This window comes from Homo sapiens, chromosome 8 (assembly GCF_000001405.40).
Source record: "Homo sapiens chromosome 8, GRCh38.p14 Primary Assembly".
NCBI classification, from domain to species: domain Eukaryota; kingdom Metazoa; phylum Chordata; class Mammalia; order Primates; family Hominidae; genus Homo; species Homo sapiens.
In genome coordinates this window covers 108,672,316-108,692,927 of record NC_000008.11, presented here as the reverse complement: position 1 = coordinate 108,692,927, position 20,612 = coordinate 108,672,316, and the positions used below count along the sequence as shown (strand labels likewise).

At 36.7% G+C, this 20,612-nt stretch overlaps 1 protein-coding gene across 1 annotated transcript in view; it reads left to right on the top strand.

Annotated features, from left to right (window-relative positions):
- The window catches only part of TMEM74 (transmembrane protein 74), a 180,745-nt gene that overhangs the window by 94,667 nt on the left and 65,466 nt on the right, over positions 1 to 20,612 (top strand). The gene's annotated exons all lie outside the window — the stretch shown is intronic.

Sequence of the window (20,612 nt, the reverse complement as noted above, 5' to 3'; positions counted from 1 at the left end):
TAGGATTACTGCCTGTCTAGTTCACAGGTATTTTCCCACTGTTTTGAATAGGGCTGCAGCAGATTGGAGATGCAATATTAACATTTTGACTAACAGGCAATTATCATGCAAATAAGTATAAAATTGCAAATGTGATTCATGGTGGTACCATTCATTGTGACAGAAGATGCTGGAAAAGATCAAGCATGCATTTATTTATTTGTTTGTTTGTTTTTGTTGATTGGTTGGGGGTTTTTTGCAGGCTGGGGCAAATTATAAGCTCAGTTTTAACATTTTAATTTCAGAGTACTATTGATATTCTGAAAAGTGGTATCATATAGGTCATTTTGTAGATTAGACTGGACTTAAAAGTTGCAGGTCTGGTCTAGAATGCATTCATTAAGATATCTGCTTCTCATTGGTTATTAAATGTGGGCCTGTATAAGATCATCCAGAAATAGCAAAAAGAATAAGAAGAGAGGAATGCCAGTAAGGGGTGGTTAACACTGGAAAGAGAACAAAATGGGATTGGTTGGTGAAGGAAAAAGATAACCACTCACATGTGACACCCTGTAGAAGACAGGTTTCAAGAAGGAGAAAATTGTATCATGAGTGAGATGCTTCTGAGCCTGAAGTTAGATGTTGAGGACTGAAAAATATCCACTGAATTTCATCACCTGGAAATTTCTGTTAACCTTTGCTAGTGTTGTTTTACTGAAGTGATGAGCCAGAAGTCAGACTGGGCAGCAGATAGTGTGATCCTGACTATGACTTCATGCAACTCTTTACATACACATGCACAAAAATCGGTTTCTGCTTTATGTGACCTTAGACAAATCTCATACACCTCTCTGAATCTCAGCTTTATTATCTGGAATGTGAGCAGCTCACAGCTACATGGAAGGTCTCTTGTAAGAATTAAACTATAAGACATGAAAAAATGCCTGGAACATTATTTGAACATTCACTCAACGTATATTCCTCTCCCTCTCTCTTATTTCTCCCACTTGAGAGTTTTAAAAAAAATCTGTTGCCCAGAATCAACATATTGCTATAAACAAGGACTGCATGGGAAAAACAAATTAATTGTGTGATAAAGTACTATGTAAAAAGAGCAATTTCCATATATATATTGGAATGATGTTTATGTCTCCTATATCCATTTGGTGATATGCCTTACTACAACTGTAGAACACTGTGAATTTATGTCCTGTCTATATTTCCTCCTAACCTTGAGATTTTTACAATAGACTTTACTTCCCAACTAGATTATTTCCCTATCCCTTGGTTGCCTGTTTATTATGCTTCCTAAGAAACTATTTTGCATGTTTCATTATTGCATCACTCTCAGTAGACTTCATTCTTTCACTCATCAAGATTGCAGGGAGCTTGAATCCTTCAAATTGCCAATGAACATTTCCAGTTTATAATACTTATCAGTTCAGATCTGCTGAAGTCATTGCGAACTTCAGATCTTTGTTTTAGATTTCAACTCTATGGGAATGCTGAACACAAATGACCATATACTCACTGTTGCTTTCAGTTCCTTGTTTTGATCACATGTTCTGGGCACTTCAGGCACATGTTGAACCCTTCAGAAACCCACTGGCAGTTTTCTTTCACAAGCTCCCGGTTTAGGTGCTGCTCGTCTGACTGCAGATGACTTTCATCATACGGGGCAGGTTCCCAACAACTACCTTTTCCTTGTGGGAAGAAACCAAAGAGATCACATCCTTTCTCTTTGGAGCACCACCAGCCAGAAGGGAAGCAAATGTCCCAGGCCCGGCCAACATGGGACTGTGACTCTTCAGCAAGAAACAGAGACAAAAGAAACCGTTTAGATTCTTTCATAGCAGCAACAGAAGCAGCCTCCATGTCCTTTGTAAAGCAGTAGCTCTAGACCAGTCTGTTTGGACTAAAAGATTTTGGATTCTTCCCTCTTGGCATAGAAGTGTCTTGGTTTAAACCCAGCCTCCATGCCTGGTTCTCTATCCTCTCATTAACTTTGTGAGCTCCTGCTATCCTTGCAAAAAGAAGTCTTCACATGATGGAACCAAATATGAACCCAGCAACCATGCTTCATGGCTGAGCTGGCACTTTATTATTATTATTATTTTTTATTTTTTTTGAGATGAAGTCTTGCTCTGTCGCCCAGGCTGGAGTGCAATGGCACAATCTCAGCTCACTGCAACCTCCGCCTCCCGGGTTCAGCCATTCTCCTGCCTCAGCCTCCTGAGTAGCTGGGGCTACAGGCGCCTGCCACCATGCCCGGCTAATTTTTTATTTTTTATTTTTTTAGTAGAGACGGGGTTTCAGCGTGTTATCCAGGATAGTCTTGATCTCCTGACCTCGTGATCTGCCCGCCTCGGCCTCCCAAAGTGCTGGGATTACAGGCTTGAGCCACCGCTCACTTTCTGACAGAATTATTTGTTACTCTTGGCAGATTTCAGGGAGAGAAAAAAAAACAAAAAACCTGCCTTGCCAGAGCTTCTGTTGCCAATGACTATCACTCTGATGGCATTCTCCAGGGGAAGAGAACACTGGGGGACTAAAAAAAAACAAACAAAAAAAAACAGTATTGTAATTTAGATTGCCACTCCATTTAATAATGGGAAAATGGTATTACTTTAGTGATAAATTTTTTAAAGCCATATGTAAAATGTGAGCTGGATTCTGTTTATAGAAATGTATGGATGAACACATTAGACAAAGTTAGCCTTGCTGATTTACTCAAGACAGCTAAACTGATGAATTTCAATTAAGCCTGTTACAAACCTGGCTCTGACTTTTAAAATCATCTATTTTGACTCAAGACTGAGTAGCACTACATACATATGTGTGTAGTCCTACTCAGTCTTGAGTGTATATATACGTGTGTATATACATGTACGTATGTATATATATGTATTTATGTACTTCTCTAACCCATAAAAGACACAGACATATAAAAAAGTTGTTTATCCTTTGAGCACCAAACATCACATGAGTCCCTTTGAAATGTTAAAAATTGGAGCCATTGGTCTGTTATCTGCATAAGAGAAAAACAATACTGTGGCTTCTGGAGAAATGGAGAGGAGGGGGTGAAGTGGGAAGAACAACACCAACAGGAATGATAAACTGGGTTTTAATGACAAAGTCACTTTGCCAACTGCAATTCAGGTGCCGGGTAAGCTGATCTGACTTCATTAGGTGATTGCCAGCCTCCCAAAGCCATCATCAGCCTGGAAGAAAGCCATATGTGTTGGTCGCACAAATGGACATTGATTTTTCAATAAACTGGAATCCAAAGCCAACATCATTCCAGTGATATCTTTTCTCAGGAGAGAGGATTTCTCGCTCATGCCTGGCACCATGTCTTGGCTCTTATATTTCAAGAATTACATGGGTGAAGCAGAGTAGAAAACATCAGCTCACTTAAGTCATGTGATAAATGAGGCAATTAAGTCAATTAGATGCACAGTTACTGAGTTATATCTGTTTTGCTTTGTAAAATATCATTTTACATAGGATCATCTGTCTTACCATACTTGACAGCATTAGAATTCTGTGGGGCAGAAAAACTGTGGTTCGTTACTCTATGAAAACAGTGCCTCCTCTCCTAACTGAATAAAGTAACCTTGGCCTCTAAGTTGGAGGTGTGGTTCCTTAACCCTTTCTCTGTAAGAAGGCAGAACACATGTTGTATTTGGTATTTGTCCGCATTTCTTGATATATATAGCTTTCCTACTAGTCTTCATGTGACTGGGGGATTAGAACACAGAAGTTTAATTTTTTCCAATGCAGGACTTATCAGATGCATCTCTTTCTAGAGAGAGAAGTGAAGTTGTAGCAAATTTACAGTGTTCTGGGAAGAGTCACTTAAGTGACTTTGTAATGAAAAGATAAGTGGGCACCTTTGTCAAAAGGAAGAGTGCTTGGAGCTTTAGTAGCTTAATGCTGTTCACCATCACCCCCATTCCCTTGGCATACAGACTTGACACTAGAGAAGAGGTTTGTACATCTGCAGAGGAGTCAAGGAGCCCTCTAGGAAAAGAAACCATGATGAGACAGTTTGCTTTTAGATATTCAATGCCTTTAGAGCCTACAATAGATTGCAATGGTCCTATATAAGGTGTGTGGGCTGGTCAAGACTGCAGGAACAGTTAGGGGAAGCTAACCACAAATGAAGGTAATACTGGACTGGTGGCAAGGCTTGATTAGGAGATATCAAGAAATTGCCCATGAAGCAAATTATGTTTCCTTTGCTCCCCATAAATTTCATTTCCTTTGTTTTAAAGTAATGAACCAACATTTAAAAATAATATTTCTTTTATAAATATAGATTCCTTTGGCCAAGGCACATCCTCTGTAGTTTGCTCCAAAACCCACCATTCACATACGTACTCCTGCTCTCCCCACTTCATTTCTATTTTGAGTTCTTGACCTTTTGCCTAAATTGTTATAGGGGAGGGATACCAATATTGTGATGCCATGGGGCTGAGACTGGAAGCCCTTGCTCCCCTAGCTGCCTGGGAGTATGATTGGGAAACTTTAGCTGAACATGTGAGGAGGAGCCTTGGAACATCCTTGATTGGACTGAGCGTGAACATGAGTTGTGATCTCACACGCTCAAGGGCAGTATCTAAGAAAGCCTTCATTGTGGAAGAAAATAAGGATATTAAATGTGGATTTTCTGGTCGAATAATATATAAATCTTTAGTTTGAAAGATAATGTCAAATTGACTTCAGAAATGTAGAGCCAGGTTAAATACTGATGAATACTTCTTGAGAGCACCAGTTTGCATACCAGTCAGCATTGGCCATTATCGATCTCTTTAAGTTTTGCTAAACTGATGGAGAAAGATAGCTCATTTCTACTTCGATTTGAATTCACCTCAATACTAATGAACTTAAGCACATTTTGAAATGTATGCTAGTCATTTATATTTTCTTGAAGAATTTCATATTTATAACTTTTGTTCATTTTTCTTATTAGGTTATTTGTTTTTCCTTATTTAACCATAGAAACCCCTAGAGTAGGGGTTCCTAACCCCCAGGCTATGGACGGGTACCTGTACGTGGCCTGTTAGGAACCAGGCCACACAGCAGGAGGTGAGTGGTGGGTGAGCGAGCAAAGCTTCATCTGTATATACAGCCACTCCCCATCACTTGCATTACCACCTGACCTCTGCCTCCTGCAAGATCAGCAGTGGCTTTAGATTCTCATAGGAGTATGAAACCCTATTGTGAACAGCACATGCGAGGGATCTAGGTTGCACACTCTTTATGAGAATCTAATGGCTGATGATCTGTCACTGTCTCCCATCAGACCAAGATGGGACCATCTAGTTGCAGAAAAACAAGCTCATGGCTCCCACTGATTCTACATTATGGTGAGTTGTATAATTATTTCATTATATATTACAATGTAATACTAATGGAAATAAAGTGAACAACGAGCGTAATGTGCTTGAATCATCCCGAAAACATCCTCGACCCTGTCCGTGACAAAATTGCCTTCCACAAAACTGGTATCTGCTGTCAAAAAGGTTGGGGACTGCTGCAATAAAGGACTTAACTTTTTCTGTTGTGTTTGCCGCAAATTCTCCCAGTCTGCTGCTTGTTTTTTAACTTTGTTGATGGATCTTTCCTTGTGCAGAAATTATTAATTTTTATTTAGAGAAATTCATTCATTTTTAATGGCTTTTGGGTTTTATAGGTTTGTTGGCTTTTATAGGTTCCCTCCATTCCACATTGTCAAAATAATCTCTTGCACTTTTCTTTAATGTCAGTAGTTTTTTGTGATTGTATAATCACCTGGAAGTTATTTTATGTGAGGTAGAGATAAAATTTTTTAGCACAAATGGAGAGCAAATTACCTTACCACACCACCTTCCCATTATTTTAAAATTCAAATTAAATTTGAATTTAGGATCGAAATATTTAAACTTGAATTTAAATTTGAAATTCAAATATTGGAAATTAAATTAAAGTACAATTTTAAACTTGTATTTGTAATTAGCAGGTGTCTTTTTGCTTTTTGGTTTGTTTTGAGATTTCACAAACAACTTCCTTATGGGAGTGTTGATTACTCACCATCTTCCTTTCTGGATTCCTCAAAAATTAATAATAAACACTTAGAGTCTGATAAGGATAAAAATGTGCAGCATGAGCTTTGTACTGGCTGAGTAGTGTCCAGTAATCCCCTCAAAATATAGAACTTCCAGTATGTTGTATAAGAGGATGAGTTTGGTCTAGGGCCAAGGTGAAGTTTTCTATTTTTTTTTTTTCTACAAATGTTGGACTTAGAACCTGACTGAGTGAGATTTGCAAAGCAATTACTCACCCAGCTAAAGGAAGACAACATCATCTTCCAAAACTAAACCTAGTTTTCTTGTAATATTTGCCCCAATAATACTTCCCTCCAATAAAGAGCACAATTCTGTCTTTTTTAAGAAGTATAAAACAGGGCCGGCGCGGTGGGTCACGCCTGTAATCTCAGCACTTTGGGAGGCTGAGGCGGCTGGATCACGAGGTCAGGAGATCGAGACCATCCTGGCTAACACGGTGAAACCTGGTCTCTACTAAAAATACAAAAAAAAAATTAGCCGGGCGCGGTGGCAGGTGCCTGTAGTCCCAGCTACTGGGGAGGCTGAGGCAGGAGAATGGCGTGAACCCAGGAGGTGGAGCTTGCAGTGAGCCAAGATCACTCCACTGCACTCCAGCCTGGGCGACAGAGCGAGACTCTGTCTCAAAACAAAACAAAAAAAGAAGTATAAAACAAAACTTCCCAACTTACGCTCCCATTGTTTATCTTGCTTAATTTTTTTTAGGATATTCTTGCATTTTTTTGTTCAAAAGAATTTTAAAAGAAACTCATAACTTTCATTTTTAAAAAATACTGGGATTTTAATTAGGATTTTCTTTAATTTATACATTTATTTAAGTTTAATTAACACCTTTATTGAGTTTTCATATTTTAAAGCTTTTATTCAGGCTTTATTATATGTACATCAATAAAATTACATAATATCCCCTATAAAAACCTTACACATTCTTCTGCTTATTCGTGGATATATTTAATAATTTTATTGCTATTTAGTTGGATTATTTTCTCTTTCATTTTTTCTAATTAAAATTTTATTGTTAATAGAAAAGAGATTGAGTTTTGTATTTTGACATTGTATCAACCTGTTTTACTAAATATTGTTCCATTCCTTCTCTCAGACAATTCTATTGTATGCAAATAGTAAAAGTGTTAGTTTCTTGGTCTATATTTCTAACTTATTTTTCTTTTTGCCTCATTGCATTTGTTAGGACTCCCATTCCAGTTGTCATGATAGAATTAGGCACCCTTATTTTGATCAAGACTTTAATTAAAATACACTAATGTTCCCCTATTAAGTATTATGTTTGCTATTTGCTAAGTTTTTCCTTTTTCTTTTATTAAATTAAGGAAGAACTTACTTATTTTTAGCTTGACTTCATTAAAAATGGTGTTGAGGAAGTCCTAGCCAGAATAGTTAGTCAAGAGAAAGAAATAAAGGGCATCCAAATTAGAAAAGAGAAAGTCAAATTATTCCTGTTTGCAGATGACTGATCTTACATATAGAAAAACTTAAATATTCTACCAAAACTTATTAGAATGGGTAAATAAACAAATTCAGTAAAGTTGCAGGATACAGAATTAACATACAAAAATCAGTAGTGTTTCCATACACGAATAATAAAGTAACTGAAAAAGAAATCAAGAAGGTAATCTCATTTACAATAGCTATGAAAAAACAAACAAAATACCTGGGAATAAGTTTAATCAAGGAAGTGAAAAATCTCTACAAGAAAAACTACAAAACACTCATCAAAGAAATGGGAGAGTATACAAACAAATAGAAAGACATCCCATGCTCATTAATTGGAAGAATTAATATTGTTAAAATGACAATACTACCTAAAGTAATCTGCAGATTCAATGTAATCCCTATCAAAATACCAATGACATTCTTCACAGACATAGAAAAAACTCCTAAAATTTTCATGAAACCATAAAAGACCCTGAATAGACAAAGCAATCTTGAGCAAAAAGAACAAAGCTGGAGGTATTCCACACCTAGATCGTAAAATATACTACAAAGCTGTAGTAACCATAACAGCATGGTACTGGCATAAATGACTAAAACTAGAATGAATTTAGAACCCCCCGCCTCTCACCTATACAAAAATCAACTCAAAATGGATCAAAGATACAATATAAGACCCAAAATGATAAAAAAAAAAAACTATTAGAAAAACATAGGGTAAATGCTTCAAGATATTGGTCTGGGAAAAGCTTTTATGAATAAGACCTTAAAAGCACAGGCCACAAAAGCAAAAATAAACAAATGGGATTATATCAAACTAAAAAGCTTCTGCACAACAAAGGAAACAGTCAGCAGAGTGAAACAATAACCTACAGACTGGGAGTAAACTACTTATCTGACAGGGCATTAATATCCAGAATATGCAAAGAACTCAAACATCTCAAAAGGAAAAAAAAAATGGGCAAAAAATCTGAAGAGATATTTCTCAAAAGAAGACATATAAATGGGTTCAAATCCATGAAAAAATGTTCAAGATCACTAATCATCAGAGAAATGCAAATCAAAACCACAATGAGGTACCATCTCACCCCACTTAGGATGGCTATTATCAGAAAAACAAAAAATATCAAATGCTGGCAAGGATGCAAAGGAAAGAGAATTCCTCTACACTGTTGGTGGGAATATAAGCTAGTGCAGCCACTATAAGGACCAGTATGAAGGTTCCTCAAGAAACTACAATTGGGACTACCATATGATCCAGCAACCCCATTGTTGGTAATTTATCCAAAGCAAAGGAAATCATTAAATTGAAGAAACATCTGCAGCCCATGTTTATCACAGTCATATTCACAATATCCAAGATATGGAATCAATCTAAGTGTCCAACAACAGGTGAATGGATAAATAAAATGTGGTGTATATATACACAATGGAATACTATTCAGACATAAAAAAGAATGAAATTCTGTCACTTGCAGCAGCATGGATGGAACTGAGATACATCATGTTAAGTGAAATAAACCAGCAAACGAAAGTTAAACATTGCATGTTCTCACTATATATGGAAGCTTAAAAAGTTGATATCATAGAAGTAAAGAGTAGAATAGAGGATACCAGAGACTGGGAAGGGTAGAGGGAGAATATGATAAATGTTTAATCATAATAAATGAGAAATTACAAAGAAATAAATGTTTGAGATGATGGATAGACTAATTTATCCTGGTCTGATCACTATACATTACATGTATCGAAATATCACTATGTACCCCATGAATATGTACAATGTTTATTTGGCAATTTAAAACAATACAATTTTTAAAAGAATGGATTGATTCATGAGTAATACCATTTTGTAATAACATAATTGTATAATGGTCTCTAATTTGTTAATTTAGTAAATTATATTAATAAATTTCCGAATGCTACATCATTCTTACACTTCTAGAATAAAACTTGTTTGATCATTTACATTATTGTCTGAAAAAAATGCTAATTTTAACTTGTAAATATTTAACTTATTTGTAATTATGTTTATAAATGATACTGAACTATAGTTTCCTCTTATTTTTTCTTTTATTTTCTGTTTTTTAACAGGATTATGCAGCTCAATTGAATTAATTTTAAAGTTTTTCAACACTTTTAATGCTTCAGAAAGTTTAACAGAGTAATTATCTGTTCCTTAAAGGTTGAATAGAACTGGCTTATAAATCATTTTGAGCTGATGTCGTTTATAAGAATAGACCTTCAGTATGGTTATTTATATATTCCACTTTTACCTCTTTCTGAGTCATTTAAAGTAATTTATACCTTCTTAGATAATCCTGCATTTGTTTTTTATTATTATTTTTGGCAAGTTATTTTTACCATCTGTCAAAATTTCTTTAATTCCATCCTTAGCTATATCTTTTTTCTTGCTTCATTTTCTTCAGTCTTTTCTTTATTCCTTAATACACTTACTAAAGAAAACAAAGGCTAACTTCTCATTTTATTGATTAAATCTGCTATAGATTGTATTTCATTATTATTAATATCCACTTATTTCTTTATTGAGTCAAACTCCAATTTCAGCAGGAGTTGGTCCATAGTGTGTGCTTAACTGAAAGATTTTAAGAGCCACACTAGAGCACTATAAGAGTATTTATGGGATATTGTAAGTACTTGTAAGCTTTTAAGCAATCATTAAAATTAAGGAAAATAAGGTAATTTAATTACAAACTGCATAATCTCTAGGTGGATAGAGCTTTTGAAATCTTTTAGTCTAACTCTACCATTTTCTTCATTTATTTATTCATTCAAGTAATATTTTTGAGTGCCTACTATGTAGTGCATGCTGTGCTATATGCTGTGGATATAGCCATGAACCAAATAAACATGGTTGCTACCATCATAGGGCTTACAATATGGTGGAAGAGACAAACATTATAAACAGATAAATATAAATTAGTGGTTAATATTTTTGTTGTTCTATGTATTCAGAAGAAAGAAATTGGGTGCTATGAAAGAAAATAATTTAGATGAAGAAATCACAGAAAATCTCTTTGAAAAGTGACATTTAAGTTAAGAATGATGATAGATGTTAGGTAGGTAAAAAGTGAAGGCAGCATAGTGGGGGTGAAGAGAATAGCATATGCAAAAGCCTGGAGATGAGAATGATCCGGGATTGCTCAAAAATTAAAAGATAATGGATTGAAACTAAAGCAAATTAATCAGTGGAAAAGAAATATGGCTGATATATAGGCCAATACCTGAGCATAATGAACCTGTAGTTACAACCAGAAATTTTGTATTTGATTTTAAACAAAATGAGAAACCACTGAAAATTTTTAATCAGGGAGTAACACAATTGAATAAACAAAAAAATCTGCCTTTAGGGCAGAGTAAAGATTGAAGCAGAGCAAAGATGGACACAAAAATGTAGTTAAAAAGTATTGACATATATCATGCAGGAAGTAATGGTGGCTTGGACTAGAATGGTAGAGATGGCAAGATGTATTCTGATTTGAAGCATTTCCCAAGATCAAATCAACATGACTAGGTGATGACTTTTTTATTTTAATAAAATACACACAACATACAATTTACCATTTTAACTGGTTTAAGTGTAGAACTAAGTGGCATTTGGCATGTTTATAGTGTTACGTAGCCATTACTACTATTTCCAGAACATTTTCTTCACCCCAAAAGGAACTCATACTCATTAAGCAGTCACTTCCTATAATGGACTAAGCTGTGTCTTTCCCAGAATTCATATGTTGAAGTCCTAAGCCCCAGTACTTCTTTTCCTTGGAGTGGTCCAGAGACTAGCTTATATGGTCTATAGGAGGAGCTAATAGTAATTGTGAACTTCTTCTATTTAAGAGAACTTAATCCATCTTGAATTAATTTTTGTATAAGGTGTAAGGAAGGGATCCAGTTTCAGCTTTCCACATATGGCTAGCCAGTTTTCCCAGCACCATTTATTAAATAGGGAATCCTTTCCCCATTGCTTGTTTTTGTCAGGTTTGTCAAAGATCAGATGGTTGTAGATATGCAGCATTATTTCTGAGGGCTCTGTTCTGTTCCATTGATCTATATCTCTGTTTTGGTACCAGTACCATGCTGTTTTGGTTACTGTAGCCTTGTAGTATAGTTTGAAGTCAGGTAGCGTGATGCCTCCGGCTTTGTTCTTTTGGCTTAGGATTGACTTGGCGATGCGGGCTCTTTTTTGGTTCCATATGAACTTTAAAGTAGTTTTTTCCAATTCTGTGAAGAAAGTCATTGGTAGCTTAATGGGGATGGCATTGAATCTAGAAATTACCTTGGGCAGTATGGCCATTTTCACGATATTGATTCTTCCTACCCATGAGCATGGAATGCTCTTCCATTTGTTTGTATCCTCCTTTATTTCATTGAACAGTGGTTTGTAGTTCTCCTTGAAGAGGTCCTTCACATCCCTTGTAAGTTGGATTCCTAGGTATTTTATTCTCTTTCAAGCAATTGTGAATGGGAGTTCACTCATGATTTGGCTCTCTGTTTGTCTGTTATTGGTGTATAAGAATGCTTGTGATTTTTGCACTTTGATTTTGTATCCTGAGGCTTTGCTGAAGTTGCTTATCAGCTTAAGGAGATTTTGGGCTAAGACGATGGGGTTTTCTAGATATACAGTCATGACATCTGCAAACAGGGACAATTTGACTTCCTCTTTTCCTAATTGAATACCCTTTATTTCCTTCTCCCGCCTAATTGCCCTGGCCAGAACTTCCAACACTATGTTGAATAGGAGTGGTGAGAGAGGGCATCCTGTCTTGTGCCAGTTTTCAAAGGGAATGCTTCCAGGTTTTGCCCATTCAGTATGATATTGGCTGTGGGTTTGTCATAGATAGCTCTTATTATTTTGAGATACATCCCATCAGTACCTAATTTGTTGAGAGTTTTTAGCATGAAGGGTTGTTGAATTTTGTCAAAGGCCTTTTCTGCATCTATTGAGATAATCATGTGGTTTTTGTCTTTGGTTCTGTTTATATGCTGGATTACATTTATTGATTTGCATTTGTTGAACCAGCCTTGCATCTCAGGGATGAAGCCCACTTGATCATGGTGGATAAGCTTTTTGATGTGCTGCTGGATTCGGTTTGCCAGTATTTTATTGAGGATTTTTGCATCAATGTTCATCAAGGATATTGGTCTAAAATTCTCTTTTTTGGTTGTGTCTCTGCCAGGCTTTGGTATCAGGATGATGCTAGCCTCATAAAATGAGTTAGGGAGGATTCCCTCTTTTTCTATTGATTGGAATAGTTTCAGAAGGAATGGTATCAGCTCCTCCTTGTACCTCTGGTAGATCCTGGACTTTTTTTGGTTAGTAAGCTATTGATTATTGCCACAATTTCAGAGCCTGTTTTTGGTCTATTCAGAGATTCAACTTCTTCCTGGTTTAGTCTTGGGAGGGTGTATGTGTCGAGGAATTTATCCATTTCTTCTAGATTTTCTAGTTTATTTGTGCAGAGGTGTTTTTAGTATTCTCTGATGGTAGTTTGTAAAACCATAAAAATCCTAGAAGAAAACCTAGGCAATACCATTCAGGACATAGGCATGGGCAAGGACTTCATGTCTAAAACACCAAAAGCAATGGCAACAAAAGCCAAAATTGACAAATGGGATCTAATTAAACTCAAGAGCTTCTGCACAGCAAAAGAAACTACCATCAGAGTGAACAGACAACCTACAAAATGGGAGAAAATTTTCACAACCTACTCATCTGACAAAGGGCTAATATCCAGAATCTACAATGAACTCCAACAAATTTACAAGAAAAAACAAACAACCCCATCAAAAAGTGGGCGAAGGATATGAACAGACACTTCTCAAAAGAAGACATTTATGCAGCCAAAAGACACATGAAAAAATGCTCATCATCACTGGCCATCAGGGAAATGCAAATCAAAACCATAATGAGATACCATCTCACACCAGTTAGAATGACAATCATTAAAAAGTCAGGAAACAACAGGTGCTGGAGAGGATGTGGAGAAATAGGAACACTTTTACACTGTTGGTGGGACTGTAAACTAGTTCAGCCCTTGTGGAATTCAATGTGGAGATTCCTCAGGGATCTAGAACTAGAAATACCATTTGACCCAGCCATCCCATTACTGGGTATATACCCAAAGGATTATAAATCATGCTGCTGTAAAGACAGATGCACATGTAGGTTTATTGCAGCACTATTCACAATAGCAAAGACTTGGAACCAACCCAAATGTCCAACAACAATAGACTGGATTAAGAAAATGTGGCACATATACACCATGGAATACTATGCAGCCATAAAAAATGAAGAGTTCATGTCCTTTGTAGGGACATGGATGAAACTGGAAACCATCATTCTCAGCAAACTATCGCAAGGACAAAAAGCCAAACACCACATGTTCTCACTCATAGGTGGGAATTGAACAATGAGAACACATGGACGCAGGAAGGGGAACATCACACTCCGGGTACTGTTGTGGGGTGGGGGGAGGGGGGGAGGATGGCATTAGGAGATATACCTAATGCTAAATGATGAGTTAATGGGTGCAGCACACCAACATGGCACATGTATACATATGTAACAAACCTGCACATTGTGCATGTGTACCCTAAAACTTAAAGTATAATAATAATAAAATAAATAAATAAATATATAAATTTTAAAAAGCAATAAATCTTATAAAGCAATAAAGTCAGCTTTATAAGAAAAAAAAAAGAGAACCTAAGCAAATTGGGCATGACAATAATAATGGCAGTGGGAGCAAAGCGGGAGGATCACTTGAGGCCAGGATTTCGAGACCAGCCTGGCCAACATGGCGAGACCTTGTCTCTACTAAAAATACAAAAAAAAAAAAAATAGCTGGGTGCAGGGGTGGGTGCCTGTAATCTCAGCTACTTGAGAGGCTGAGGCAGGAGGATTGCCTGAACCCAGGAGGCAGAGGTTGCAGTGAGCTGAGATTGCACCACTGCACTCCACCCTGGGTGACAGAGTGAGACTCCATCTCAAAAACTAAAAATAAATAATAATAATGGCAGCGTAGGATTACTTTTTGTTTCCAGATTTCTAAATGAAGATATTCTAATACAAAACTAAATTATCAAAGCCAGTTTTCAAATTGTATATATTTTTATACAATTGGAATCCATTATTTTTGTTATCTGCACTTTTCACCTAATATCCTATAAGAATTTCTCCTGTGTGATTAAAAGTTATGAAAAGAGATAATCTGTTGAAAATATAAGTAAGTATTAATGCATTTGATGGTATAGTGTTTTGTTTTGGAAGGAAAATAGACAACACTGTTAAGTAGCATCCCCTCCAAGAGAAAGGCAGCATGAAAACTGGCCTCCTGCTTGAAATCTACACATGGCCATGGTCAAAGTACAATCTACCTGGATATCTCTCAAGTCTATGGTAAATTGGGATGTCACTACAAGTTAGTAATAGAAAAAAATAACAATAAATTGTCAAAACTTGGGTCACGCTTGCTGGTCACAGCTCATCTACAAGAATGTTTCCTTATATGCAAGTCTTATTTAAAAGGACCTAGGAAGACCTGGGCTGATCCAATCTCATGGCTCTAAAGGCAACTAGCCATATTCAGTCTATGGCTCAAGTAAAAGTAATATGCTGATCAGTACAGAAAGATGGATTTTGCAGTAAAAACACAGTCAGAATAACTGTCATTACTTGTCAGTTTCCCTCTTGCTGCGAGGTAATGGTGGAAACATAGCTGGAGTTTGAGGCATTTCTGGAAAACAGTCAAGTTTGAGGCATTTCTGGAAAAAAGTCATCTTTTCAGATTGTGCATGATTCATTTGTTTCAGAAAAAAAAAAAAACAACAGAATACTAAGGCCGTTTTGAAACTGACTTCAGCCCCAAATCAATTTCTTTCACATTAAATTTAAGCTATTGTATTTTCAAATCTTTTAAAGAATATTTTACTCTAACATACTTCTAGCTCACTGATACGTATAATACATTTTATATGTTAATGTTCCTCATTTGAAAATAATATATTTTATTTGAGAAGATTAATATTTTTATGTTTGTAGTCAGTATTAACACATTTGTTTAATTAATTACAATTTTACAAAAATCTAGATTTAAGTAACTAATTATTTGTAACCACTGAGTTGGAAAGTAGAGAAACTAGATTAGGTTCCTTTCTTTCTAGGCCAGACAACTCCTAGCCATGCCAGAAATTCTCTCCCAGAAACTGTATTCACGTCACAAATTTTATTTAAGTAAAATTCCTATCTCCTAGCCTAGGAAAGTGAGATGTTGGAGTCAAGAGATTTACGATGACGTATTTTACAGCTGAAGGTTAAACTGTAAGTGCCAATAGCTGGAAAGAATAATTGATCTTTGAATAATGTTTTGATTTACATTTTGGTGTCTGTGACCAACGTCCAGGCTAATTGAAACTTTTCCTCAACATCTATAAGACTTTCTAAGTCAAGCTCATAAACATTTATTGATTCTTTCATTCAGTTATTCAACAACTGTTTTGTGCCTGGTGCTGATGACTGCCAGAAGAAACAAGAAGTCATTATTTATTCATTCATTCATTCCATAAATATTCACTGGACTCCTACTATGCGTTAGGCATTGTTGCAGGTGAGATTTTCGTTGAGATAGGTCAATGAAAAAATGTAGACAAAATTCCAGCCCTCAAGGTGTTTACATTCTAGTTTGAGAAGGGGGAAGGAGAGAGTTAAATAAAATATAAATATAATATACATTACACATTTTACTAGAGGGTGAAAAATATTAATTGAAAATATAATAGGGCAGGGTGGTCAATGGAAGGATTGAAATTTTAGATAGGATTATGACAGCAGTCTTCACTGGGAAGTTTACATGTGAGAGAAGACTTAAAGGAGAGGAGGAAGTGAGCCGTGTGCATGCCTCCTAGGCAGAGGGAACAGCTTGTGTGAAGGCTTTGAGGGGGGACTGTGCCTGGTATGTTTGAGGCCCAGAAAGGAGGCCAGTGCATCAGAAATAAGGCAGCAAGAGGCAGAGTCATAGGAGATGAAGATAGAGAAGTAAGAGACAAGACCACGTAGGGTCCCATTGGAGGGATTTTTGGCTTTATTCCGAAGCAGATGGGCAGCTCTTAGGGGTGTTGGGTGGAGTAGTGACATAAGCTGATAAAGTCCCCAGAAGTGACCCTACAAAGGATTTTGCGGTCCTGCATATGTTCTGAGTTTACTGACTTGCCACATTCCATTTCTGCCAGCCAGTCCTGATATCTTTCCCCACTCCTTTACAATAAATACTCCCCTTGAATATCCTCCTCTTTCATTATTTCAAGTCTAAATTCCTCCACCTTTTACAAGAGTGTTTTACATGTATGTCCTTTTTAAAAGAGCCAGTTTATCAAATTCTCTGCCTATCCTTTTTGTTTTTCTTTCTTCTTCTAATTATTTTGCTCCTATATTATAACTAATATGAATAATATTATCTCATTATCTTAATTTTCTATACTAAACTATCTTCAATATTACATGGTCCTGCCTATTTCCAAATAAGTGGCATCCCCTGGAATGAGTATGTTTTAGTAACTGTGGATAGCACTGGCCTAGGCCTATGCCCTGTTTGTCTAAGTGTAAGCATACTCAGCATTTCCTAATGTATTTTTAATTGCTGTGTCACATCCTCTGAGTTTCTGTTTCACCTTTTCTAAATTTAAATTTTCCTGCCATTTAGCTCCCTGAAAGGCTAATAGAAAAGATTTATTTTTCTATTTAATTCCCTTGTGCTCTGAAAACAGAATAAAGTTGTGACCAGATTACTTTAAAAAGCCTGTAATATTGGGTAGAAACAAAAACAACATTCATTTGAGCACTTTGTGAGTCGCTGGGTACTCTAATGCGATTTTAAATTGTTTATTCGATGGACATAGATGGCAGTTAAGAGGGTTTCCTGTTACATTTTGCAGGAGTGTCCATTGTACCATGGCAGCTGATCAAGGCCAGTACTCCAACTTCAGTAGACAAGAAAGAGGGCTTCCCCTCCAAAGCTACCAGAATCACATCCACATTCTGAAAATTTTAAAGCAGATCTGGATTTTACTTTTAGTTTCAGGTCTCCCAGAAGAAGATACTGATATCAGGATTCAAGTTCAAATACAAGTACAAGCAATACCAAAAGGAAAGTGGGGAGATGACACCATAAACAAAAGGTAGTCAATGAAGGATATGCTGCTGAGCCAGCTGCCACAGTGGGCAACTGGAGCTTATTCCCACAGGGGAACTCTAGGAAACATATAAAACATATGTCTCAGAATGATCTCATCCAGGAGGCAAGGGATCTGGGGTATATATACACCAACTTCCATATTCATTGGTGAAGGCTAAGGGTATTAACTCCTCAGTAATTCTGATCTGCCACTTTTCACAACTGAGGGTTGGGGATTGGAAATGATAAATCCTTGGGCTCATCTGGCTGTTGAAAGTCAGGCAGAGCAAACTGAGATATTTGAGTGACATGGGTCAGGCACTGACAGTATCTGCTACACATTGGAATCCACCTCCCCTCCAGAGCTGCGTGTATTAACTCACAGATTGTCTGCAGCACAACTCTACGGAGGACAATTCACATAGAGGACAATGTGAGTGGTGCCATTCTGGAGTTGTACAGCTTGACCTTGCCCATCTGGGGCCCAGTTCAGTTCACACAACTACAAGTATTTTTGGTCCAAGTGACATGTTAATCTGTCAACTTCTCTTATAGATCAAGTCCCACAATTAGTTATAATCTACCGACAAGGCCTGACCTTAAGCACATGGTTCGATTATAGAAATTTCTGAATAGCTTCCATGGAGTAATACATGAGGCTGAATCTTCAGACTTACTGGCCTCTTTCTCTTTAGTATTATTACTTTTCACTAAATGATCTCATGAGTCAGACATATACAACCTATGACAATTAGTATAATGTTCCTGGAAGCAAGGTGATGGCTGATGGATTACAACATGCAAGACGAAAAGCCAAGGATATTTGTTTCCAGTATAATTCACTTTGTTTTTTGGATCACACTCTCTTTTCACCACTAATATTCAGAGATGCACACATATACACATACAAACACATCAATATTTAACAAACTTATGAAGCACCAACAATACCCTATGTTTAATGTTGGGTATATTTACATGAGTAAGTTGCAGTATCAGCCCCACAAAGCTCATGTATATGGGGAAAAAAGATATAAAAACACAATTATAGCACAATGTAAAAATTTCTGATAACATACTTGCTTGTGGAAACAATAGTCTCTAAGGATTGGTTCTTACCTAGTTTTGTCAACTCCAGGCATCAGTATTTAGCTGTAAAATTCAAGCTGAATTTACCTAGTCTAGGCATTCATATCTAACAAAATGTTTAACTTGGGACGTTATAAAAATAATAGGAAATTTTTAAAATGTTTGAACCCATTCATAAACATGAGAACTATATTTGCCATACCCAAACTTAAATCAAAGTATTAACAATAGGCTAAATACTATCCAGTAGGGTTGTGATAACAGTGTTCCACTATTCCTCACAGCAGAACTGGCCAGAGAAATGACAAAGACAATAATATCTGTTCTGATCTCAGCTGAATTCTTCTTCTAGGTCTGCAGATTTTCTGTATTTCCCACAGTACTTTCTTTTTGTCCCCTCTACTTTTCTCTGGCATTGGGTTATTCTGATGGCTTACTTTAGGTACATTTTAAGCATAGTCTTTATCACTCGATTGCTTTTGCACTTTTCTTCCTTCTAAAGCTCTCTCCAAAATACGTGCTCCTGTTTCTTGGCTCTCTCCCTCAGCTGACTACTCTCTGGCTATGCTCTCTGCTGGCCAGATTCCCTGCCATCGTGAGAGATGTTTACATTCAGCCCTAGGTGTCCTGAAGATTCACTTCCTAGTTAGAGCCTGGGCTCAAAATATTCCCCTCATTTCTTGGTGCCAATATGCTTCCAATGTAGACTGCTACACAGCAGCTTCTCACTGTAGGCCCTGTGTCTGAGATCATGTGACAATAAAGTCCGAAACTAGTATTTCCAGTAGGTACTGAGTACTCCAAGTGTGTAGTCATAATACAAGGCAGGTACTGACTACCACAGAAGAATCTTACCCTGGTAAGATCAACTTCCATGATCTGTGTGTGAGGATAACAGAGACAGCTCATAGGATTTTTAAATAGACTAGCTAATTCAGCAAGTGCTATATCTATGGAGTTAGCCATGCTATTACTTCCTTGGGCATTCTTTTCATGAAATACAGTGGATCCAATTTTCTTAGAATTTGAATCTATGTCCTTCAGAAGACTGAGGTTATGCTCTATTTACGTCTCTGCTACATAAGATAAATGAAGTTGAAAAGTTGTGTTTAATCATCTGGATCTTCATGTCAAAACTATCTGTGTTTGAACTATTCCAACTCTTTCACTCAAAAGCCAACATCTGGAATACCTGCTTTGTGACCCATGTTGTACTAAACCCATTCCCATCCTGCTCATTCTTTATGATCTTGTCCTGAGTGAAGAACTGGTCTTGCTAACCTGTTCTTGACACAGGATATAGCATCATTGTGAATGTAAAGTTATTTAATTTCTTTGAACATCAGAAGGACCCTTGTTGGTTGATCTCCTTCAGAGAGATCTGAGGGATAGGAGGAAAGTTAAATTCCATGGCTTTGTATATTTTAATCCTTTGACTTGAAATCACAAGGATACTAAATTCAGCTGGCACATTCCAATGACCCAAATGTCAAACTGGGCTCCATCCTGAGTGAGTTTCACACAGAACAAACAGCCCTTTATAGATTCAAGAGTGGCCCAGGCCGGGGACTGACAACCCCAGAAAGCAGCTGTGCTGGTCCCCACAACATAGTCCTAAGTAGGGAGACACACCAGACAATAAGAAAGATACTGAGACTGTGTCTCACAATGCCAGAAAAATAAAATCTAATCTTTCCCTGATTTCATCTACATGAAATCAAAATATTGTATTTCTGGAAACATCTGGATGATTGAGTAAATTTTTGTGCAGCTTCATCTGAATATTTGATAAAATTTA